Source organism: Homo sapiens, chromosome 9 (genome assembly GCF_000001405.40).
Source record: "Homo sapiens chromosome 9, GRCh38.p14 Primary Assembly".
Taxonomy (NCBI): Eukaryota; Metazoa; Chordata; class Mammalia; order Primates; family Hominidae; genus Homo; species Homo sapiens.
Genome location: NC_000009.12, coordinates 15,185,600 through 15,210,451, shown reverse-complemented (window position 1 = coordinate 15,210,451; position 24,852 = coordinate 15,185,600). Strand labels below are relative to the sequence as shown.

Genomic DNA, 24,852 nt, shown 5'->3' with positions numbered 1-24,852 from the left:
AGTTATAGGGATAAGGGAAGGTACTTTGGAGGTTAGTTTTCATTGGTGTGTGTGGGTTTCCCCACGTGGTGTTCAGTAGCACAGACTGAGTTCCCACAAATGGCTAGCCAGTGCTGCATGTAGAGTGTTGGAAAAGGATGATCTGTGTCCTATAGACTTCAGGGTTTAGAGTTTCAGCTTTTTGACTCTTTGGTGTGATAGTGACTGAAATGAACGTCAAATGAAAATGAGCTCAGCCTGATTTTTTTTTTCTATTTTCTATCTCCCTTTTTATTTATTCAATGTAGATACAGGAAAAAATACACAGTTGTAGAATCTTTCTCAAGTCTTCTTTCTAGAGGATCCCTGGAGCAACTGAGTGAAGGTAAAAGTCATTTAAAAGATCACTTTTTTCCTTGATTTTAATAGTTAAATGATCATCTCATAAAATTCCATCCTGAAGTATATAAAGTAAATGGAATGTCTTTTTCTCTTCCCTATCATACTCACCCTCTGGAAGAAATCATTGTTAATAGTTCATTTTGAAGCCTTTTCTGTGTACATACTCAAATACATAAATAAGGTACACATAAGGTTTTTGTTGTTGCTCATGGATTGTTCATTTTTTTTTTGCAAGCATAGAATCACATAATAGGTGTTGTCCTACAATGTGAATTTGACATTGACACTTCCCCAGATCGTTACATGTGAGTGTTTAACAGCTGTGTGGTATTCCATAGGATTGATATACTGTACTTTACTTGGCTTTTCTCTATGGTTTTTATTTTTTCACTGATATGAATAATGGTGTCCTAGAATCCTTATACATATGGATTCATGCATTTTAAAAAGTTATTTCATAAGATAGATTCCTAAAAGTGGAAGAACCAGGACTGACAGTTTGAAAACTTACAATATTTATAGGTATTCCCAGTTTTTTTCTACATATAGGTCAGTTTATATTCTTAGCATTCATCTTTGAGAGTTTCAGTTTTCCACAAGCTATTAAACATTTTTTTCAAAGTGAAAGTAATTTTGATATCTTTTAAAAATGATAATGTTTCACAGTATGGAAGATGCTTGGTTTGTGGACATTTAGGAATATTCAAGAATCCAGGAATGGCTGGCTGCGGCACCCTGATCAGATAGATGGGAGGAAATGACCCCTGTTGCTGTCAATTGCTTGACGTGCCCCCTGGGACTAGGGCAGAAGGTTCATGATCAGTTCTGTCTTTTCAGTGTTACACTCTAGTCCACAATAGTTTACAAGAAAGGAGCATCTAAATATTCCTGTAGAAGGAAAAAAAAAAGTCCTTCAAATGTCACTATTGTAGAATAAAGCTTTTGCCATCCCAGGAGAATCTGTGCCTGTATTGCCATTGTCAAACATGTTCTCTGAAGAGGTAACACAAAATACTAGAATATACCATACTAGAGAACACAAAATACAAAGCTACTAGAAGTAGCTTTGGCTGATTAGAGCAAGAGCAATTCTGGATATTGCTGTCAGAGTAGTTTCTAATGGTCAAGTGTATGTCAGACATATTTTTGAGTGTGTTTTATTAGGAAGTTTTGTTTATTTTGTTAGATGAGTATTATCAACTTGTTATGGACGTTGGAGAACTTGGGAACATTTGCATGATGTGAAGCTAGAGTATTGATTATAGGAGAGGAATTATGAGACATTTCACATCTTTGGGACTTATTTCAAAGGGGCATGATGTTGACCCCAAAACCATGGTCAAACAGAATGGCATTTCATTGGTCATTCTAGGCAGCTGAAACCCATCATCTTTTTCTCCAGAAACTGACCTCCAACTATTTGTAAGAATGTATTTATCCTCTTGACTTCGGATAGAATGTGTCTGCATATTTTCCATCTTTGAGCTGCTTATGTAAATTAGTCCCGTTAGACCTAAAGTTCACTAAAATGGGTTAATGAGAAATCAAATAGGCCCAAAAGAAATTGAACCTTTTTGTTGTATTCTCCTTTCTGTTACTCTCTCTATGGTTTCCCTCTAGTGGCCCATTGACCTCTGCCTCCCTTTTTCCTTTTAGTATGAAGGCTGATATTTGAGATTTTTTTTAGCTGCATTTTGGCATGAATGACATGGTATTTTTTGTATGAGTATAAATAATAATAATAATTTGGCCGGGTGTGGTGGCTCACACCTGTAATCCCAGCACTTTGGGAGGCCGAGGCGGGTGGATCACAAGGTCAGGAGTTACAGACGAGCCTGGCCAACATGGTGAAACCCCGTCTCTACTAAAAATATAAAAATTAGCCAGGCATGGTGGCGCACACCTATAGTCCCAGCTTCTCAGGAGGCTGAGGCGGGAGCTTGAACCCAGGAGGTGGAGGTTGCAGTGAGCCGAGATCGCGCCACTGCACTTCTGCCTGGGTGACAGAGTAATACTCTGTCTCAAAAATAATAATAATAATTTGAAAAATAAGATGATAATGCTCCTTTTTTTTTTTTTTTTTTTTTGAGACCAAGTCTCACTCTGTTGCCCAGGCTGGAGTGCAGTGGCATGATCTCAGCTCACTGCAAGCTCCGCCTCCCAGGTTCACACCATTCTTCTGCCTCAGCCTCCCGAGTAGCTGGGATTACAGGTGCCCGCCACCACGCCTGGCTAATTTTTTGTATTTTTAGTAGAGACGGGGTTTCACCACGTTAGCCAGGATGTCTCAATCTCCTGACCTTGTGATCCGCCCGCCTCAGCCTCCCGAAGTACTGGGATTACAGGTGTGAGCCACCGTGCCCAGCTGATAATCCTCCATTTTTAAAAAGCATCCTGTATGTGCTATATACTGTCCTTGTTGCTTTTCTTAACATTAACCAATCTAACCTCCTCTTTGTAGACTTGGAACTGATCAGAGTTATAAACAAATGGCCAGGATTCCCCACCTAGCAGAGTAGGGTTAACTGATCATCTGCCTTTCCCTAAGCCACAACTCTTTCACTGTAACCCACACTTTCTCCTATAGGCAAGTAGAGAAGGGCATGAAATGTGTCATATACGGATGAAGGAAATAATGAATTATTTCTGTGTTAGTCATCTTGAAAATAGATGATACTGTGTTGTTATATTTTTATAATGTCTTTGAACAATGGCACTTTAGGAAATCTGGAATAAGGTAGAAAATTACTTTTTACTAATTATAAAAAGTAGGCTGGGCCTGGTGGCTTGTGCCTGTAATCCCAGCTACTTGGGAGGCTAAGGTGGGAGGATCCCTTGAGCCCAGGAGGTGGAATGTATTAGTCCATTTTCACACTACTCTAAAGAACTGCCCAGGACTGGGTAATTTATAAAGGAAAGAGGTTTAATTGACTCATAGTTCTGCATAGCTGGGGAGACCTCAGGAAACTTAAAGTCATGGCAGGAGGCAAAGAGGAAGCAAGGTACCTTCTTCACAAGGTGGCAGGAAGGAGAAGTGCGTGTAGGAGGAACTTGTCAAACACTTATAAAACCATCAGATCTCGTGAGAACTCACTCACTGTCATGAGAACAGCATGGGAGAAACCACCCCCATGATCCAAACATCTCCCACCAGTTCCCACCCTTGATACAAGGGGATTATGGGGATTACAATTCAAGATGAGATTTGGGTGAGGACACAAAGCCTAACCATATCACAGAGGTTGCAGTGAGTGCAGATCATGCCCCTGTACTCCACCCTGGGTGACAGAGCAAGAACCTGTCTCTACATAAATAAAAAAAATAAACTAATAAACTTGTGACTATAGCCTATTATGAAATACAGGTTTATTTAGACTTTCATATCTAAATAAACTTAGCTTATTTAGCTAAGTTTATTTAGCTTAGCTAACATTATTTCAGTGCATCATGAAGATATTTACTCCTGTGGACTAAGGAATTTATAATTAAGAGATATTCTGGTAGTTACCTACTCATAAGTGCCTAATGGCTAATTTTGAGAACTAAAGAACTATGCAATGTAAATCAACCACAGTGAAAGAATAAGACTTTTATAAATTAAGCTGTATTTTATTCTTAGTGAGTTTGGCTGTCAACTGCAACCCAAACAGACTTTGTGTTCAAGGGAGCATGTCAAAACATTGTAGCTTTAGTGTGTGATTTGTTTTTCCTCTTGGTAATTTTCATTTACATCCTTGAGTGTCTGGTTGTCTACAGGAGTGAGTATATTTCATTAAACTTTTCATGGTTTTAATGTGGAACATACTAGTTCTTTTCTCTTGTGGCTGGCGGATTGCCCCAAATGGGTTTCAAATTGCCTTTACAAACAGATATTTAAATGCAATGAGTGCCTGGGATGTGAAAGGGATTTAATATGACAGATACTTATTTGCAGAATACAAAGTTCAAACTCTCATGCCTTTTCTGTCTGCCTTGTTGTCACATCCCCATGCTGCTCTTAACTTTGTTCATCTTTCACTTAACCCTGATCTGCCCACCCGTCTGCTCAGATCTCTGCAGGGACTGACTCACTGTTGCTTCCTGAATCAAGTGCAGACTCTAACATTCAAGGCCACTTATAATTGAGCCTTGACTGAGCCCTTCCAGCCTCATTGATGTCTCCTCCCTTGACTGGCTTTTCCTGAAGGTGCTCTTGGCTTTCCTTGCTCCTGTTACCAGCACAGTCCCCTCCGCCCCGGCTCCCCCACCGCTGCCATCACCACCACGGACTTCATCCCCTCTGCATGTACCCCAAGCCAGCAATCTGTATTCCTGAGCAGACTTTCATAGCTCATAATTCCTGGTTCTCACTCTGTTACAGAATTACCTAGGAAGAGGATATTCAGGTGACTGGGTAAAAATAAGTTACCAGTTGGTATCCCGCTGAACACAGCTAGAAAATCACTAGGCACACTTTGAGGAGAGGTGTTCTGAAGGACTGAGACCCTGACTGTGGATGTGCAGGCTCTAACTCCTCAAGTTTGGTCTGTTAATGGCTTTGGCCCCATCTTTCTGTGTACTGTTGAAGACCTTAGCTGCAGAGGTGCTTCTTTGTAAATTAAACATTGGAATATGAGCATGGCAGGAACTTGAACCAATTTATGAGAACCAGTGGGTTGTATGTGTGTGTAGGGTGGGGGTGGCATCTATGTGTATAAGTGCAAGAAAGTACTTGTTGTCATCTAAGTCTATTTAGCACTAATCCCAATAATAAGAAATACCCTATTTTCAGTCACAGTCCACATAAAAATGCTTTCTTCTTTCTGAGCTTTTACCAAAAAGCAGTGACACGGATCATGGGCAGTAATCTCAGTGCACGTAGTTAGCACTGATCCAGTGCTTACTCTGTATCATGAGCTCTATGTGCAGCACTTCATTTGATCCTTCAGCTGTGAACTAGAGGCGGCGTTAGTGGCCTTTATAAATGAGGAAACCAGCAGAGAGGGGACGAGGTCCCATAGCTCGTACATGGCAGAGCCTTTTTAGCAGCTCAGGCTCCTAAATACCCCAGGCTCGTTTACTTAAATATCATGCCACTTTGCATCCCATGGATAGAGCAAGAATCTGCTGACTTGTGTATGGAAAAAAGTAAAGGTTTGTCTCTCCATCCTCTGCAAGTATAATGGTTGGTTGGGAAGCTAGGGTGTGTGTTTTGGGGTACTCCGCAGGTCCCTGGGATGCACAGAGCCCCACCTAACCCCTTTTTGTGAGTACCTTGTTCTTGTGCTAGACATCTACATGATCAAATTAGCCTGAAACTGGGGTAGTGCTACCTCTTTCTATATCAGGTCTTCATGTGTGAGGAGTCTTAACGTGGCCGTGCAGGACATTTCTTTTTCACCGAGCTCTAGAGAATTGCTGCTTTCTTTTCAGGTAGCTAATGTGTCTGGTTAGTGTCATGGTTACCATACCTTCATATTTTAGAAGCTAGCATTCATACATTTAATTTAGTTTTTTTCAACTTTTAAAACTGTGTGAAAGTTGTTTTTTTTTTTTCTTTTTGAGATGGAGTTTCACTCTTGTTGCCCGGGCTGGAGTGCAATGGCGCAATCTCGGCTCACTGCAACCTCCACCTCCCGGGTTCAAGTGATTCTCCTACCTCAGCCTCCCGAATAGCTGGGATTACAGGCATGTGCCACCACGCCTGGCTAATTTTTGTATTTTTAGTAGAGATGGGGTTTCTGCCTGTTGGTCAGGCTGGTCTCGATCTCCTGACCTCAGGTGATCCACCCACCTCGGCCTCCCAAAGTGCTGGGATTACAGGCGTAAACCACCACGCACAGCCAAAGTTTTATGTTACTAATTAAGTTAAAAAATAAGTGGTTTCCTTTTTTAAAAAAGTGCTTTTAAATGTTCATTTCCCCTTGTGAGTTGAGTTTGCGTCTCTGATACGAAGTGACTGACTCTTTGCAGTTACATTTGAATGGGGATGACTTCCCTGAACACTTCACACATTCCAGGAAAATCTTCCTGACAAAGTGAGAACTGGGGTTATCATTCCACTTTTGTGGAAGCACAAGGGCAATCTAAGTTTTGGGGTCTCTCTTGGGTTCATTTTTCTGCCAGTCTTTCCTGAACATCACAGAGCAATCACTTTGGATGTGTGATTTTACTTAATATAATTTTATTTGTTTTTTGTAGAGGAAATGCATGCTGAAATCTGTTATGCCGAGTGTCTCCTACAGAAAGCTGCACTCACGTTTGTGCAGGTAATGAATATTTGGCTTGGAATTCGTATTGGCTGGGAAGACTGCCAGTGCTGCATAGAAAAATGTGGTGCATTCTATGTCAAAGCTTCAGTTCTTTTGACTTAGAGTTGTAATGGCAAATATTTGTTATTCTGATAAACTTTGGCTGAAAAAAGATGCTAGAGAGCTTTGTTCCTCCTCTACTGCACTTAAGAATCTATTTCAAATTGCACTCCACTGGGAATCATTGCCCTTTAAAGACTGTGTCTTTAAAGAAACTTTAGGCCAGGCAGGGTGGCTCACGCCTGTAATCCTAGCAGTTTGGGAGGCTGAGGTGGGCGGATCACCTGAGGTCCAGAGTTCGAGACAAGCCTGGCCAACATGGTGAAACCCTGTCTCTACTGAAAATACAAAAAAAAAAAAAAATTAGCCAGGCATGGTGGCGGGCGCCTGTAATCCCAGCTACCCGGGAGGCTGAGGCAGGAAAATCACTTGAACCTGGGAGGTGGAGATTTCCGTGAGCCGAGGTCCTACCACTGCACTTCACCTTGGGTGACAGAGCAAGACTTTGTCTCAAAAACAAAAAAGAAACTTTAAAGAAACTGCTTTGCAACCGTCACATCTAATTTTAAGATGCATCTGTGTGGAAACCGGGAGAGTATTCTCCTTTGCGCTTTCTACTGGTAGAGTCCGCACATGGGAGTGGCCCGGGCAGAGGAAGTGTCCCCTGTTACACCACTTGCCTCAGTCAAGTTCAGTTATGCATGCATAGCATGTATACTTCAAATTTTATTTTTCCCCTTCTTTCTATATTCTCATTCTCCTTTCTTTTATTTCTTCCTTTGGAAGAGCAGTTTTTAGAAGTCACTAAACAATCCTTTTCTTATGATCCATTTTAATTTCACCTCTGGGAACTGATACAGTCAGTACCTTGCCTATTTCTGTATCTTCCAATGCTTCTGTAAAACATAAACTTTCACATAATGGCTTCATGGGTGGTAGTGATGGCTACAGTGAGGGTGAGGTGGGGTAGAGATTGTAAGAAATCAGAAAGAAATTCAGCTGTGAAATGGAAAATCTTCCCTCACTCACAATCTTTTTTTTTTTTTTTGGTGGGGGAGGGGTGGCAGGGTGGTTGGAGCCTCATTCTGTCACCCAGGCTGGAGTACAGTGGCATGATCTCGGCTCACTGCAACGTCTGCCTCCTGGGTTCAAGCAGTTCTTCTGTCTCAGCCCCCCGAGTAGCTGGGATTACAGACGTGTGCCACCATGCCTGGCTAATTTTTGTATTTTCAGTAGAGACAGGGTTTCACCATATTGGTCAGGCTGGTCTCGAACTCCTGACCTCAGGTGTTCCACCCACCTCGGCCTCCCAAAGTGCTGGGATTATAGACGTGAGCCACTGCGCCCAGCCACAATCTTTTGAATTATTTGACAGTTGCTTCTTTCTTTTCCTGGAGGTTTACCTCTTGGGTTGGATTCTGGTTTAGTAAAACGGAATCACTGTAGCCCATGACCCTGTTTCCTAAAACCCAGACATTACAAAGACTGGTTGATAACAACAGTCTTACTGCCTCAGTAAGCATCATAATGATAGTCATGGAGGCCCAAGTTTTTTTCTGTTTTCCAAACAGGGATTTGGCAATCAAATCTGGGATTTGAAGGCTTATTTTATATTTGGGGATTTGAAATTAAAGAGATATCCATGTTTGTCCCCTCTTCCTCATGACTCCCACCCAGTCACCTTTATATTCATGCTGCTTTAGCCTTTTAAAGATTGTGCAGCTCCGTCTCTTCCTATCATTGTTCTAGAAGAAGTGCTTATCTACTCTTTTCTGGACTGCACAGCAACCTAGTGACTCTCCCTCTCTAATTTCTTTTACCTTCAGCTCATTCCCTATTCTGCAGTTGAGGGTTGAGTAACCTCTTAAAAATGAGTCTCTGACCTGGTCACTTCTCTGCTTCAGCATTCAGTAGCTCTGATTGATTGAGTATGGCAGTATTCTGTATCAGAATGTCACAAATGAGGGGGGTACTTTTTCAAACAAAACTGGTACCTCCTCTCTATGTTCCCTACCCGCCCCCCGCACCTTACAGGTGTCCTTGAAAGCCACTGACGGGTTTGCATACTTGAGTAGCATGGCTGGAGGTAGCTTTCTTAACTCCTTGGTCATTCTCTTTGCAATAGATTCTTCAGCAGTGTGGAATTACATATGCACACATGGCCAAACCCATCATGATCCTTAATGCCACCCTGTCTTTCCACTTGAGTTTTACTTTGCTTACAAAATTCACATCTGCTTTGCCTTTCTATACCTGTCCAGTTTCTAATTATTTTTGTGCTTAAAGCACCAATGCTTCCAGGAGGCATGTCTGGCCCTTTCCATGCCACTACTTTGTGTTCTCATGACATCCCATGCATGATCCCGTCCCCGTGCATGGCTCCCTCCCCGTGCTTGACGCCCTCCCTTAACATATTGTATTACTTTCATCTGTTTTTGCATTTGGGTGCCTGGTATAAAATAGGCATTAAGTTTAAGTTTGATGAATCCTGAAATGAGATATGTTTGTTTTTTTTTTTTTGAGGTATATTTCAAGCTAATTTAAGAAATTCTTTTCTGGTTGGTATTGGATTTTATGTAATCATAAGATTCCTTAATTTAAGAAGATAAACATTGAATTTCATATCTATTGATTCTTATAATAATTAGAACATTAAATATTTAAGCAATTAATGAAATTAGTAAATGAAATTCAGTTTTTCTTTTGCTACAGAAGGATGCTTAAGTACACGAGAAATACATATCAGAGCATCTTTCTTTTTTCTTCTTTTTATTTATTGTTTTGAGATGGAGTCTCGCTCTGTCACCAGGCTGGAGTGCAGTGGCGCGATCTTGGCTCACTGCAACCTCCACCTCCCAGGTTCAAGTGATTCTCCTGCCTCAGCCTCCTGAGTAGCTGCGACTACAGGCACCCGCCACCATGCCCGGCTACTTTCTGAATTTTTAGTAGAGACGGGGTTTCACCATGTTGGCCAGGATGGCCTTGATCTCCTAACCTGGTGATCCACCCGCCTCGGCCTCCCAAAGTGCTGGGATTATAGGCGTGAGCCACCACGCCCAGCCAGAGCATCTTTCTGATATCAATAGACTAGAAAAACTTTCTCTCTGGATATGCAAAACGTAGGACTGTCTCCACTAGTACCATCTATTAGAGTAACTTCCTTCAAGTGGTTATTTGATGTAATTTATTGTCTTAGAATCCTAGAATGCTGACCCTGAAAATGCCATTCATCTAGGCCAACAGCCTCAATTTTATGGTCGATGACAATCAGATAAACAGAATTGAAGTGGTGTTGTTTTCCTAAAACAAAATTGTGTAGTAGTGACAGCCACTTCAGAAACCAGACCAGTTATTTTGGGCCTAGAAATGTGTGTGAGTAAAATTCGCAACATTAAAAAGACTCTGACTGCTAAAGTACTCTGTGAAAGAAGGACCATTGTCCCATTTACTGGGTGTAATGTACTGGAAGGTTTGGCCTTAGAGCAGATTGTTAAAGTCATCCATTTTACATTCTGTTAAACCCAGAAGAAAATTGCTCAGTAGATGTCAATGTTTATTAAAATAATTTGGACCGCATATGGCCCCTAATTGGTGAGGATTACCTCCTTAGTAATATAAAATAATCGAAGGATTTTACAAGTATTTTCTTTTTGTTGTCCTCTAATGTGGAAGAAAAATTACCCCAAAAACTTTTAAATGTAAAGCAAGAGTATGTGTTAATTTCAAAATTATGTCCTCAAAATACTTTTTTTTGTTTGTTTGTTTTTGTTTTTCTAATCACACAAACACACAACTGTGGGGACAATTTAAAATTTTTTGCTAAATAATCTAATTTTTTAACTGAATTATTTTCAGGATGAAAATATGATCAACTTCATCAAAGGTGGACTCAAAATTAGAACAAGTTACCAAATATATAAGTAAGTTAAAAAGTAAGATGTGGTTTGTAAATAATTTTGTGCTGTGTACTCCTTTGTTCTTCACAGTTCTCCTAAATTAAGTTTGACTAGGATTTTTTTTTTTTTTTTTTTTTTTTTTTTTTTTTTGAGACGGAGTCTCACTCTGTCACCCAGGTTGGAGTGCAGTGGCGCAATCTCGGCTCACTGCAAGCTCCGCCTCTCAGGTTCACGCCATTCTCCTGCCTCATCCTCCCGAGTAGCTGGGACTACAGGCGCCCGCCACCACGCCCGGCTAATTTTTTGTATTTTTAGTAGAGATGGGGTTTCACTGTGTTAGTCAGGATGGTCTCGATCTCCTGACCTCGTGATCCGCCCGCCTCAGCCTCCCAAAGTGCTGGGATTACACGCGTGAGCCACCGCGCCTGGCCTGACTAGGATTTTTTATTTGGTGTTGGTAAAAATGAACTTAATTTTTTGTTGAGTGTGTATTCAGTGTTATAGGACAACAGAATTTAAGTTTAAATACAATTTTAAGAGCTAGCTGAAAATAAAGCTACTGACATAATTTCTGATTAGATAATTTTAGTTTTCTCTCTCCTTAGAACAGTTTATAAATTTAAAATTATAGTAATATCTTTGGTTCAGACTCCAGAGCAGCACTGCCCAGTAGAACTTTCTGCAATAGATGGAAATGTTCAGCTGAGGTGGCTGTAGCGTTGTTCATATCCTTATTGATTTTTATCCAGTTGTCTGTTATTTACTGAGAGTGTTAAAGGCTCTAAGTTTGAATCTGGAGTCATCCCTTTCTTCCTTTAGTTCTGTCAGTGTTTGCCTCATATATTTAGGAGCTCTGTTGTTAGGCTTTTATAATATGTATTTATAATTCTTCTGTCTTCCTAATGAATTAACCTTTTCATCATCTTGAAATGTCTCTATTTAACTTTGGTGATATTCCTTGTCTTGAAATCTGTTATGTCTAATATTCATATAGGCACTCATGCTTTTTATAATTAGTCTTTGCATGGGATATATTCTTTTACTTTAAACCTATTTTTGTTTTCATATTTAAATTGTATTTTTAAATATTTAAATTGTATTTCTTGTAGATTCACATAGCTGGGCAGTTGAATGTTTGCACTTGTGACTACCATTTTGCTTTTTCTCTTTGCCTCATCTGTTCTCTCCCCCTTTTTTCCTGTCTTCTTTTGCTTTAATAACATTTTTAGAACTGTTGTTCTCTTAGCTGTAGTCTAATTTTTTTGTGGTTGCTCTAGTGTTTATAATATTGTTTTTAAGTTATTACAGTCAACTTAGAGTTAATATTGTAGCACTGGACATAAATTATAAGAAGTTTGCAAAAGTGTAATTTCATTTACCACATTTTGCCCTTTATGATATATATATATATATATATATATATTTTTGCGACCGAGACCTTGCTTTGTTGCCCAGGCTGGAGTGCAGTGGTGTGATCTCAGCTCACTGCAACCTCTGCCTCCTGGGTTCAAGCAACTCTCCTGACTCAGCCTCCCGAGCAGCTAGGACTACAGGCACATACCACCACGGCCAGCTAATTTTTGTATTTTTAGTAAAGACGGGGTTTCACCATATTGACCGGGCTGGTCTCGAACTCCTGACCTCGTGATCCACCCGTCTTGGCCTCCCAAAGCGCTGGGATTACAGGCATGAGCCACTGCGCCTGGCCCTTTGTGCTATTTTTATGATGTATAGCAGATTTACATATATTTTAAACCCTACAATGCGGTGTCAGACTTTCTCTTTAATCAGTTATATGTTGTAGTCTTCTCTCTTTACCCATATTCTTACCATTTTTCATATTCTTATTCAAAATGGTAAATATATTTCCTGTTTACTTTCAGACTAAAGAACTTCCTTTAGCATTTCTTAGAGGGTGTCAGCTTTCAACAAATTCTGTTTTCATTTATCTTAAAATATATTTACTTTTTACTTTTTCTTTTCAAGCTTATTTTTGCTAACTATAGTATTCTGAGTCGATGGGTTTTTTTTCCTTCTTTCAGCCCTTTAAAACTGGCGTCCTATTGTATTAAAGCCTGTGTTGTTCAGTTTTTCATTTGTATTATTGTTCCCCTATATATAATGTGTCTTTTCTTCTGGCTTTTTTGAAGATTGACTAGTTTGTATCTTTGGGTCTCAGTAGTTTGACTATGATGTGCCTAAGTGTGGTTTTGAGAAATTTGTGGTCATAATTTTTCAAACTTTTTTTTTCTGCCCCATTCTTACTTTCTTCTCTCCTGAGACTCCTACTTTTTTCCCTTCATTTTCCACTGTGTAAAAATATGTTTTAAATGTATATTTTGATTTTTCCACAATTTGTAATAGTTACTTGTGGGAAAGTTAATCTGACATAAGCTACCCTACCATTACTGGTAGCAGAACCAAAATTTAGTATTTTAAGAGGTACTTTCACTGAAAATCCTTTCACAAAACTGTGTTTCATTCAAAATCCTGGAAGGGGGTGGTAGATCTTGGGTACCTGACATGCTGTTGTATAGATTTCTTTGTGAAATATTTTTAGAAGGTATAAACGAATGTTAAATTCAATGCTAATTGCTGTTTTAGTCATCAAAACCTAAAAATACTAAAGGATTAAAATAGGACTGTAGAGGCAAAGACATACAGGTATACCTCAGAGATATTTTGGGTTCCAGGCCACTACAATAAAGTGACTATTGCAATAAAGTGAGTCACACAAACTTTTTGGTTTCCTGCTGCATATAAAAGTTACGTTGATACTGTACTGTATTCTGTTAAGTCTGCCAATACCATTATGTCTAAAAAATATACATACCTTAATTGATAAACACTTTTTTGCTAAAAAATGCTAACAATTATCTCAGCCTTCAGCAAGTCATAATCTTTTTGTTGGTGGAGGTCTTGCATCCATGTTGATGGCTGCTGACATTCAGGGTGGTGGTTGCTGAAGGTTGGGGTGGCTATGGCAATTTTTTACAAAAGGACAGCAGTGAAGTTTGCCATACCTATTGACTTTTCCTTTCATAAAAGATTTTTCTATAGCATGCAATACCACTTGATGGCACTTTACCCACAGGAGAACTTCTTTCAGAGTTAGATCCATGCTCTCAAATCTTGCTGCTGCTTTATCAGCTAAGTTTATTTAATATTCCAAATCCTTTGTTGTCATTTCAACAATGTTTGTGGCATCTTTACCGGGAATAGATTTCATCTCAAGAAACTGCTTTCTTGCTCATCCATAAGAGGCAACTCCTCATCCATTAAAGTGTCATCATGAGATGGCAGCAGTCAGTCTCATCTTCAGGCTCCACTTCTAATTCTAGTTCTCTTTCTGTTTCTAACACCTCTGTAGTTACTTTCTCCACTGAAGTCTTGAACCCCTCAGAATGATCCATGAGGGTTGAAATCAACTTCTTCCAAACTCCTGTTAATGTGGACATTTTGACTTCCTTCCATGAATCACGAATGTTCTCTATGATAGGTAGAATGATGAATCCTTTCCAGAAGGTTTTCTGTTTCCTTTCCCTGGATCCATTAGAGGAATCACTATGGCAGCAATAGCCTTATAAAATGTACTTCTTAAATAATAAGACTTGAAGGTCAAAATTACTTCTTGATCCATGGGCTGCAGAATGGATGTTGTGTTAGTAGGCATGAAAACAATATAATCCTTGCATACATCTCTTTCAGAACTCTTAGGTGACTAGGTGCATTTTCAGTGAGCAATAATACTTTGAAATAAATGTTTTTTTCCCTGAGCAGTGGATCTCAACAGTAGGCTGAAAATATTTAGTAAACCATGCTGTGAATAGATGTGCTATCATCCAGGCTTTGTTGTTTTAATTATAGAGCACTGGCAGAGTAGATTTAGGACAATTGTTAAGGGCCTTAGGATATTTGGAATGGTAAGTGAACATTGGCTTCCATTTAAAGTCACCAGTTCCATTAGTCCCTAACAAGAGTCAGCCTGACCTTTGAAGTTTTGAAGCCAGGCGTTGACTTCTCCTCTCTAGATATGAAAGTTCTAGATAGCATCTTCTTCCAATAGAAGGCCATTTTGTCTACATTGAAAATTTGTTGTTTAGTGCAGCCACCTTCGTCAGTGATCTTAGCTAGATATTCTGGATAACTTGCTACAGCTTCTACATAAGCACTTGCAGCTTCACTTAGCACTTTTTTTTTTTTTTTTTTTTTTTGGAGATGGAGTCTCCCTTTGTCACCCAGGCTGGAGTGCAGTGGCACGATCTCAGCTCACTGCAACCTGCGTCTCCCAGGTTCAAGTGATTCTCCTGCCTCAGCCTCCCGAGTAGCTGAGGCTACAGGTGTGCGCCACCGTGCCTGGCTAATTTTTGTATTTTTAGTAGAGGCAAGGTTTCACCATGCTTGGCCAGGCTGGTCTCAAACTCCTGACCTCATGATCCGCCCACCTTGGCCACCCAAAGTGCTAAGATTACAGGTGTGAGCCACCGTGCCCGGCTGCACTTTTTTGTTATAGAGATGGTGTCTTTCCTTAAATTCATGAAACAACCTCTGTTAGCTTCCAACATTTTTTTCTTCAGCTTCCTCACCTCTCTCAGCCTTTATAGAGTTTAAGAGTTAGGGTCTTGTTCTGGATTAGGCTTTGGCTTAAGGGAGTGTTGTGGGTGGTTTGTTCTATCCAGACCACTACAGCTTTCTCCATATCAGCAACAGGGCTGTTTTGTTTTCTTATCATTTGTGCATTCACTGAAGTAGCACTTTTAATTTTCTTCAAGAACTTTTCTTTTGCACTTACAAGTTGACTAACTGTTTGGCACAAGAGGCCTAGCTTCCAGCCTGTCTTGGCTTTTGACATGCCTTCCTCACTACGCTTAATTATTTCTAGTTTTTGATTTCAAATGAGAGGTGCGAATCTTCCTTTCGCTTGAACACTGAGAGGCCACTGTAGAGTTACCAACTGGCCTAATTTCAATTTTGTTTTGTCTGAGGGAATAGGGAGGCCTGAGGAGGAGAGAGATGGAGGAACAGCCTATCAGTAGAGCAGTCAGAACACACACAACATTTATTGATAACTTTCGCTCTTATATGGGTGTGGTTCAGGGCACCCTGAAACAATTACTGTAATAGTAACATTTAAGATCTCCCATCACAGGTCACCATTAACAGATACAGTAATAACTAAAAAGTTTGGAAATTTTATGAGAATTACTGAAATGTGACCCTGAAACACAAAGTGAGCACATATTGTTGGAAAAATGGCATCGATAGACTTGCTCAACACAGAGTTGCCACAAATCTTCAATTTGTAAAAAATGCAGTATCCACAAATTGCAGTAAAACAAGGTATGCCTTTACATATCAGTGAAATGAACCACAGGGTTTTTTGAAAGAGACAGCATGTGTGTGTGTGCACACACATGGACTTACACACACACGCACATACTTACCTGGGAATTCAAAATATACTAAATTCCTTTATATAGATAGGCCCTTTCAAAACAGTGAAGAAAGATAGGTACTTTAGTAAATGTTTTTGGGAAAATTGTTCATTTTATAGAAAAATCATTAAGACGAAAAAAGTCCATATAGGTTTAATATTAAAAGATTTAAAAAGAATTCTAGCAGGAAACATAAGAAAGTACTTTTATAATTCTTAAATATAAAGGCTTTAAACTTTTTTGTTTTTTATTTTTTCACTTTGAAATAATTTGAAAATTATTACAAAAAATTTCCATCACTTGTATGGAAGATTGTAAATCGTCACTCAGATTTACAAATATTAATATTTTGCAGAAGCACAGTACAATTATTAAAATGAGGAAACTGACATGGATACAGTATTCATATTTACTCCATGGCCTTTACTCACATTTCTCCAGTTGTCTCATCAATGCCCTTTTTCTGGCTCAGGATCCAACCCGGGATCCTGGATATCGAGGTTAGCTGTCATGTCTCCTTAGTCTCTTTTCATTCGGAATAGTTCCTCAGTCTTTGTCTTTAATGATGTTGACATTTTAAAAGAATAAACTGGCCAATTATTTAGTAAAACATCTTTCAATATGGACTTTTCTAATGTTTCTTCATGATTAAATTCAGATTATGACTCTATGGCAAAAATACCTTAGAAATGATATCATTAGGTACATGATGTCAGTTTCAAAGGCCTTTTAACTATGGCATAAAATCAGAAATCAGAAGAAATTGATTGAGCTGACCAAATAAACATTCATCATTTTATCTTGGCAAAATGCACCATAATAAAAAATAAATGACCCAGGGGAAATGACAGCAGGGGATGCTTGTAGGCATCTGAATTGACTCTCTAAACCCTTACATTTTTTGTAAACTGGAAGTTAGGTCTATAGGCTTGCTAGATTCAGATTAAAAATATTTGGCTAGACTGGATCACAAGTGTAGTTGCACATTTTATAATTGCATCACACCAAGTGATTCATGATATCTCATTATTCCTTATTATTAAAAATATATTTGCCAATTTAATAAGCAATTCCCAGGTATTATCAATTTTTATATTTTTGTCATTGTTTTAATTTGTATTTCTTTGGTTAAATATTTGCCTTTTGAAGATGATGTGAACAGGCAAGAGAGAAATACATAGAAAGTAAAGTGAGAAGTTGGAAAGATTTTCATGGCTGGAGCAGGAAGAAAGCAGAGGACAGATGGGGCCATTGTGATGGCCTTTGCTTTCTTGTTTCAGTCTGTCCTGGTCCCAAGCCCTAATTTATTTGGTCTGTTTGAGACGATGGCAGTCACACTGAAATTCAGATCTTCTTGCCAGTAGCATTTCATTTCCTCAGGTTGCTGCAGTGTGTGCAGTGGTGGAGGAGCTGAGCGCTTGCAGGGAGTCCGCTGTGATATGCTGCCGGAAGCTGTGGGATGGCAGCCTGTGGTCCTGCGGCTCCTGGCTGGTGCTTGCCAATGGATGAACCCTCTCTTTAAGCCCAGAAACACTGGTCCTGCTAGACACTGTAAAAATGAGCATCTCCTTTTTCTTTGATGATTATTACCTAGTATCCTTAAGAGTAAACTCAGCACAGCATCATCCTTTAAAATTTTGATGGTATTTTAATTAATGACATTTATTTTATAGCACATAAGTGTAAAATTTGATTTAATATTTATTTTCAGAGTCATGGTCAACTTATGCTGTCACTTTTTTTCTTCAACCCAGAGAATGTCTTTCTATCCTGCATGAAATTCAGAAGAACAAACTTCAGCAGGAATTCTTCTATGAGTTTGAAGGGGGTGTCAAGCTTGGCAGTGGGGCCTTTAATTTGGTAAGGAAATCACTGTATAGAAACCAGAACTTTTGTAGAAGAACCTAAGGTTTTCTGTGCCTTCTCCACTGCATTTGAACCTCATCCTGAACCTTTCCTTGGGTTGGTTGACAAACAGCTAGAGTGGGATCAGTTTTCTGGCATTGTGACCCAGTGTGTTATAAAGTTCCACACATGCTCAGAGTAGCTTTGGATTGTAAAATGTAAGGGAAGCGTGTGGTACTCTGAATAGACTAGTAAGGTTTTTGGTAACAAGGAACAGTGGAATCCATTTCCATTTCCACAGCAGAAATATTGTTGCAATGACAATGACGGCTCTGGAATTGAAAATGTGTGAGGGACCAGTATAACTTGAGGAATGATTTTTGATGATTCCTGAGGAGATGGAAGTCTGAGTAGTAATCTGTCAAATTCCAATATGTGATTAAGAGATTTTTAAATTTTATTGATGGTTCACTGGAATTAGTGAGAAAATAAAGTGATCAAGAGAAGTATACACATGAGTGAATGTGCCACTATGGCCACTTTGCTTATAGCCTGTGGGGTGATAAATGGGAAAGAGGCTGACTGGTACCCACAGAATGGACCATCTTATCCAATTGGTTGTTAAAATCCTCTTCTGCTAAGGTCATCCTTTGGTGTGTATCCACATGGGACACAAATATCTTTACATTTTCTGCCCATTCAGAAAGATCTGACCACGTACTTCTTCCCCAGACCTCTTTGTCACCAATTTTCCAATCATGATCCTTCTAAGCCCCTGCCCTTCCAACCAAACCATTGTCTACATCCCCTGAATCAGCATATAATTGCACATCTGGCCATTTCTCCTTTCAAGCATAGTGCATAACCAGGTGCACTGCCCAGGGTTCTGCCCACTGGAAGGATATTCCCTCACCACTGTCCTTCAGGAATATCCCAGAGAGAAGTGGTAGTGCTGCAGCTGTCCACTTCTGGGTGGTGTCTACACATCACACAGACTATGACTGATTTTTGCTTCTGGGAAAGGAAACTAAGAAACCTTGCCTGGATGTGGGCTTTGAGGGGTTACCTTCTTGTCACTTCATCACACCACATCAAAGGTCCCAGTATTCTATAGAGAACCCTGGAAAGACCAGGCTTAAAAAAAACTTTTTAAAGGTTCCTTGTCTTAGCTAAATGAAATTAATTCATAAATGATTGTTACAGTATGTGGTAACAGAAATATCTGGTGGTTAAAACTTGTTCCCAATTTCTCATGTTATTGAAGCATTAAAACTGTAAGTTGTTAGTTTAGATTTGTTTGCAGTTAGAAACACTAACACATAAGTACACTGTATATTTTTTTCTTACAGATGCTGTCCCTTTTACCAGCAAGGATTATCAGACTACTAGAATTTATTGGATTTTCTGGGAATAGGGTACAAATTTAATTTTATGTTAATTTTGACAGGGAAGATAAGACAGTATTTATTGAACATGAGGGCAATGCAACATGTCTGCATAACTACCTTGATAATTATTGGCAATTTGTTTGTAGGACAGAAAATAAGCCTTTGATTCTTGATCATGTTTTTCAGGACTTAGACATAGTTTTTCTGATGAAAGTTAAAAATGTTCACCCTTGTTATCCAAATTCTTGGATGAAAAATTATGTGTTGCTAATATTGCTTCTTGCTAGATCTTATTACTCTCACGTGGTTTCCTATGCTTTCTTAATAGTTGACCAAAGATGGGAGGGGTGGGGGAAGAGAGGGTTGAAAAACTACCTGTTGAGTATGATGTTCACTCTTGCGGTGATAGGGACACTAAAAGCCCAGACTTCACCACAGCGTAATATATGAAATCTGTACTTGTAACCCCCCTAATATATAAAAATGTTTAAAAAGTTTCTGAATATGATTTTCCAGTCTTGTTCTCTTTCTAAAAATGCATTTAATTCCCATAGGAGTTGGGCCTCCTGCAGTTACGTGAAGGTGCTTCAGGAAGGAGCATGAGGTCTGCACTGTGCTGCTTAACCATCTTAGCTTTTCATACTTACATCTCCCTAATACTTGGTAAGATCTGGATTAGATTGTTTCATTGAACATTGATTGTCTTGGCCAGACATGGTGTGTTACACCTGTAATCCCAACTACTTGGGAGGCTGAGGTGGGAGGATCAGTTGAACCCAGGAGTTTGAGGCTGCGGTGAGCTATGATCACGTCACTGCACTGGATCCAGCCTGGGCCACAGAGCGAGATCCTGTCTCTAAATTAAAAAAAACAAAACAAGACAAAACATAAAGTTGATTATTTTTAATCTGAGTAAGTAAAAATTTAGAAAGATCAGCAAGAGCTAGTAGTTCATATCTGTTTACTTTTTTTTTTGAATAAAGGTAGAAAATAGTGTCCTTTGTCATAGTGACATTTAGCAGAAGGAGTAGGGTAGTTTCTTTCATTAAATAATTTTCATCTGTTCTCAGCTAAAATTTCTATATTAAGGTGATCTATTTTATCATATATGAGATTTTTTTCTTTGCAGAAAATGAAATTTTGGGCTAAATAAGTTAATATTGCTGTTAAAACCAGAAATTCCAATTAGGAATCTGAGACAGCCACCTGCATTCTTAAGAATTAGTGTGTCCTAGAGCTTTCTTAAACTAAAGTTATAGGTGAGACTGGTCTTTATTTTATTCCCCAGATATAAAAATGATGAAATAATAGTTTTCATCTTTTCCATGAGTAGGTCTTTACTGTATGTTAATGAAATTTGGAGAGCTGGTTATAAATATCCCCATGTCTTATGAAGACTGAGTCTTTTCCTGTTAAATTTCTAGGTACAGGAGAAGTGAATGTTGCGGAAGCAGAGCGTCTCCTGGCACCCTTCCTCCAGCAGTTTCCAAATGTACGCTCAGTATTTCAAAGTGTATGTTTCAACCATAATTAATCAGCCAGTGTTGACTGTTGAACAGTGTGTTTTCTTCCTTGCTCTGCAGGGCTCACTCGTGTTGTTTTATCATGCCCGAATAGAGTTGCTGAAAGGGAATCTTGAAGAGGTAATTTATTAGGTGGGAATTATTTGGGGGAGTTGTCTGTATGGCGACTCCTACATGAGTCGCTGTGACCTACTTATTCAACAAAAGTAAACTTGGCTATATGGACTAGACAAAAATAAAGAAAAAAATATATAAGTAAAAAGCCAAAACTTTTAACTTGTATATACATTCTATTATATAAAATCTATGCAGTGGATTACTGAATATAGTCTACATTTATACATAGAGTACATTAAGCACTTTAGGGTAATATATACCAAATAACAAGCTCAGGGATTTTCAAGAAACTGTGACTGTTACCAATTTCTGCATTACACACTGACTTTGGAATCTAGCCCCTGTGTGACATGCAGGTCTACTACGTGTGGGCTCCGTATCAAAGGACCCCTCAAAAAACGAATTCCCTCAAAAACGAAGCGTCGAGGTCAGAAGTAGAAAAGTAAGGAGCCATTTATGTATATACATTCACAAACCATTTTTTCCACACAAATGGGATCAAAATGTATTTTTCTGTGATTTTTTTTTCACTGTTTACAATATGTCTTGGATCTCTTTCCAGATCAGTATGCCTAAATGTCTCCTATTCTTTTTGATGGCTGGGTTTCATTTCATGGGATGGATATACTATACCTATTAAAGTGGTCCATAGACATTTGGCCACTACAAACTGTTGTGAACATCATTGTATGTATATTTCTGTGCACAGGTACATTTATAGAAGACAGATTATGATTAGTAGAATTCCTGGGCCAAAAGGTGGTTGCATTTTTATAAATCCAGCCAAATTGTCCTCCTCACTTAAGATTGTTCCAGTGTAAACTCCAGTAAACATATAAAAATATTTTTTTCCAATGCTCTTTGCTGGCTCAGGACATTACGTGATGGCTAAAAATGAGAATCTAATTTTTAAGTTTATATTGCCTAGTTTACAAATTTATCCACATGTATATCTGTCATCTATATATTTTTTTCTGATTTGCCTATTTACATCTTTGCCTGTTTCCTGTTGAGTTTTCTTTTTCTTACAGAATTTTATTAAATTGATGAATGATAAAAGAGTTAACCTTTTGCCAGTTACGTAGATAGTGACATCTTCTTCCTGTCTGTTGCCTGTAACTCTGCCTACAGTGTTTTGTCCTATGGAAGTTCTAACTTTATTGTCAGTCTTTTCTTAAATGATTTCTGCATTTGATATCTTCCTTGGAATGGAACCTCCCCACTCCCACATTACAAAGTGTCAAGGCCCTCTCACAAAATTAAAGAAAGAGGCAGAACTTAACTGTATCATTGCCTGTAAGGAAAAGAACATATCATCATATTGAGAGGTTTAATGAGTGATAATTTTGTCCTTTTTGTACTAAGTGTTTTATGTATTTTTCCATTAGGTTATTATCTCCTTGTCTAATATCTGGACGATCAACTTTGTGTACTTGATTTACAGGCACAAGAAGTATTTCAAAAATGCATTTCAGTTCAAGAAGAATGGAAACAGTTTCACCATCTCTGCTACTGGGAGCTAATGTGGATTAATGTTTTCCAACAAAACTGGATGCAGGCATATTACTATTCAGATCTGCTTTGCAAAGAGAGTAAATGGTCCAAGGTAAAGTGCAATACTTTCATTAATGTCATCTGTTTGCTAATACATGGCCAGGATGATTTTCATTTAGGACTGTTTGCTCAGTAGTATGATACCACAGTGTTTTCTCAACTTAGAGATCCACAAAAGGAGGAAATGTGCCTTAAGTACCCACTATTTATAGGTACTGTCCTCAGCATTGCATGCTTTAAAAGCCATCTACTGTTCTTTTCAGGGCCAAATGCGATGGCCCATGCCTGTAATCCCAGCCCTTTGGGAGGCTAAGGCAGGAAGATGGCTTGAGGTCAGGAGTTTGATACTAGCCAGGGCAACATGGTGTGATTTTATCTCTGCAAAAAATAAAAACATTAGCTAGGCATGGTGGTACATGTCTATAGTCCCTTCTACGTGGGAGGCTGAGGCAGGAGGATAGCTTGAGTCCAAGAGTTCGAGGCTACAGTGAGCTATGATCACACCACTGCACTCCAGCCTGGTGACAGAGTGAGACCCTGTCTCAAACAACAACAAAGAGTTATTTTAAACATGAGGTTTTATCTCTGAAAATGAGTTGTACTTATAAAGTTATGAAATCTTAATCATGTTGATAATTTTGTGTAGACTTTCCAGTGCCCTGATGCCCAGGCTTTTCATGATAATGAAAATTAATTCTGATCCACTTATGAGAAGTTGGAGGGCAATGAGATAATTTTTTCTTGTTCATTCTGTCCACTTTCTCACCTATGAATGCTGTAGTTGTATAATAGGAAAATGGTTTAAATTATGGGTAATTGAAAAGAGTTGTTGTCATTTTGAACAGGGAATATAAGATTTCATTTCCTCTGATTTCTTTAATGCCTCTAATTTTATATCTGGAAGACTTGTTGGTCATTCCTGATTTGAAAGGTAGAAATGTCATTTACCTAGGGATGTTCTGTAATAAGCTCCTTCTTTTTCTCAAGGCAACTTATGTGTTCTTGAAAGCAGCAATTTTGAGTATGCTTCCAGAGGAGGATGTAGTAGCAACGAATGAGAATGTGGTAACTTTATTCAGGTATGTGAGACACTATTCCTATAACAAAGGCTCTGAGGGTATAAAGGGGCAAAATCTCATCTCTACTGAAAATACAAAAAATTAGCTGGGCCTGGTGGCATGTGCTTGTAGTCCCAGCTACTTGGGAAGCTTAGGTGGGAGGATTGCTTAAGCCTGGGAGGTGGAGGTTGCAAGTGAGCTGAAATAATGCCATTGCACTGCAGCCTGGGTGACAGACAGAGTGAGACTCTGTCTCCAAAAAAAAACCATGTATATTAACTGTAGCATCAACATCAACATTAGTAAAAGCCATGGCATGATAAATGTCACTTTTTACTGTAAAGTTCATTTCCTTATTTTACGGAAACAACAATTAATGGAAGGGAGTATTAAGATACATTAAAATCTTTTAAATCTCCTTCTCTTTCTTCCACTGCAGATTAAGTTTTCTCCATATCAAAACAGTTTATGTGAAAGATGTGATCATTTTTATTTTCAGGAGAAAGCTTTGAGGTCTTGCTCTGTCATAGCTTCTAGGTTGTTGGGATAATGAGAGTTCTAACAATGAATGGTCTCTTCATAAAGATGCTGTTACCTTTAAACTACAAGGGTTCCTGTCTGAGACATGCTTCTGACCCCTTCCTCTGACCCCCACCTCACATTTCCACTGCCTTTTCCACTGACGGTAATGAACAAAAATGATGAGACACTGTAGTTTAAAATCCATAGCTCCATATTTTGCCCGGAATTAACCTAACATAAGCTTGACTCATATTGGAGGCATATTATTTCATGTTATTTTTTCTTTCAGTGATGTAATTGAGTATTGCCTTGAATTCTTTCTCAGCAACTTGTTTGATGCATCCATAAAATTATGCATAAGAAAGTGCTCCCAGGAACATGTAGTCTCCCCATCCTACTGTCATTTTTACCTGCTTATGAATTTCATAATTGGAATTCTGTAGAATTTTAAAAGGAAGTTTCTAAACATGGTACACATCCTAAGCTGATTATTTCCCAAACAACCTGTGCTTGGGAAACATTTTCTTAAATTATACGTTAATTGTTGGCTGTCTTTTGAGCCATATTATTTTATAGATCTGTGTAATACTTGCAAATAGGAATAGGCCATATACCAGTGTACCCTCTTCTCTCTCCCTGAGTATCCACAACGTAAGTAAATACTTTGGACTCTTTCCTGCTTACTCGTAGAAATCGCCAGTTGTATACCTAGATTTCCTGGACTGTGTTTGATAGATTTAAGACATTAGCTAAGTTGACTGGAAAGAAATATGTGTCAGTCAGTGGTTCTCAATCTTGAGTGTGCCTCAGAATCACCTGGAGGGCTTATCAAAATCTAGATTG

General features: G+C 38.8%; 1 protein-coding gene across 14 annotated transcripts in view, besides 1 other annotated feature; it reads left to right on the top strand.

Annotated features, from left to right (window-relative positions):
* Nucleotides 1–24,852, top strand: part of TTC39B (tetratricopeptide repeat domain 39B) — a 143,595-nt gene that overhangs the window by 96,765 nt on the left and 21,978 nt on the right. For 12 of the 14 annotated variants that reach the window (XM_047422829.1, NM_001168341.2, NM_152574.3 and 9 more), the window contains 10 exons: nucleotides 288–364; nucleotides 6,562–6,629; nucleotides 10,527–10,591; nucleotides 17,757–17,862; nucleotides 19,197–19,262; nucleotides 19,790–19,898; nucleotides 20,660–20,727; nucleotides 20,819–20,878; nucleotides 22,320–22,481; nucleotides 23,417–23,508. In XM_047422829.1, coding sequence (XP_047278785.1) covers nucleotides 288–364; nucleotides 6,562–6,629; nucleotides 10,527–10,591; nucleotides 17,757–17,862; nucleotides 19,197–19,262; nucleotides 19,790–19,898; nucleotides 20,660–20,727; nucleotides 20,819–20,878; nucleotides 22,320–22,481; nucleotides 23,417–23,508 — 873 coding nt within the window. Of the gene's footprint in view, nucleotides 1–287; nucleotides 365–6,561; nucleotides 6,630–10,526; nucleotides 10,592–17,756; nucleotides 17,863–19,196; nucleotides 19,263–19,789; nucleotides 19,899–20,659; nucleotides 20,749–20,818; nucleotides 20,879–22,319; nucleotides 22,482–23,416; nucleotides 23,509–24,852 lie in introns of all 14 variants that reach the window. The other 2 variants (NM_001168339.2, NM_001168340.2) reach the window with 2 other exon arrangements.
* Nucleotides 4,327–4,621: a silencer, noted in NCBI's record as "tiled region #7105; HepG2 Repressive non-DNase unmatched - State 14:Gen5', and K562 Repressive non-DNase unmatched - State 24:Quies". NCBI's record gives its function as "represses a minimal TATA promoter and a strong SV40 promoter by Sharpr-MPRA in HepG2 and K562 cells {active_cell/tissue: HepG2 | K562}" and the evidence as "EXISTENCE:reporter gene assay evidence [ECO:0000049][PMID:27701403]".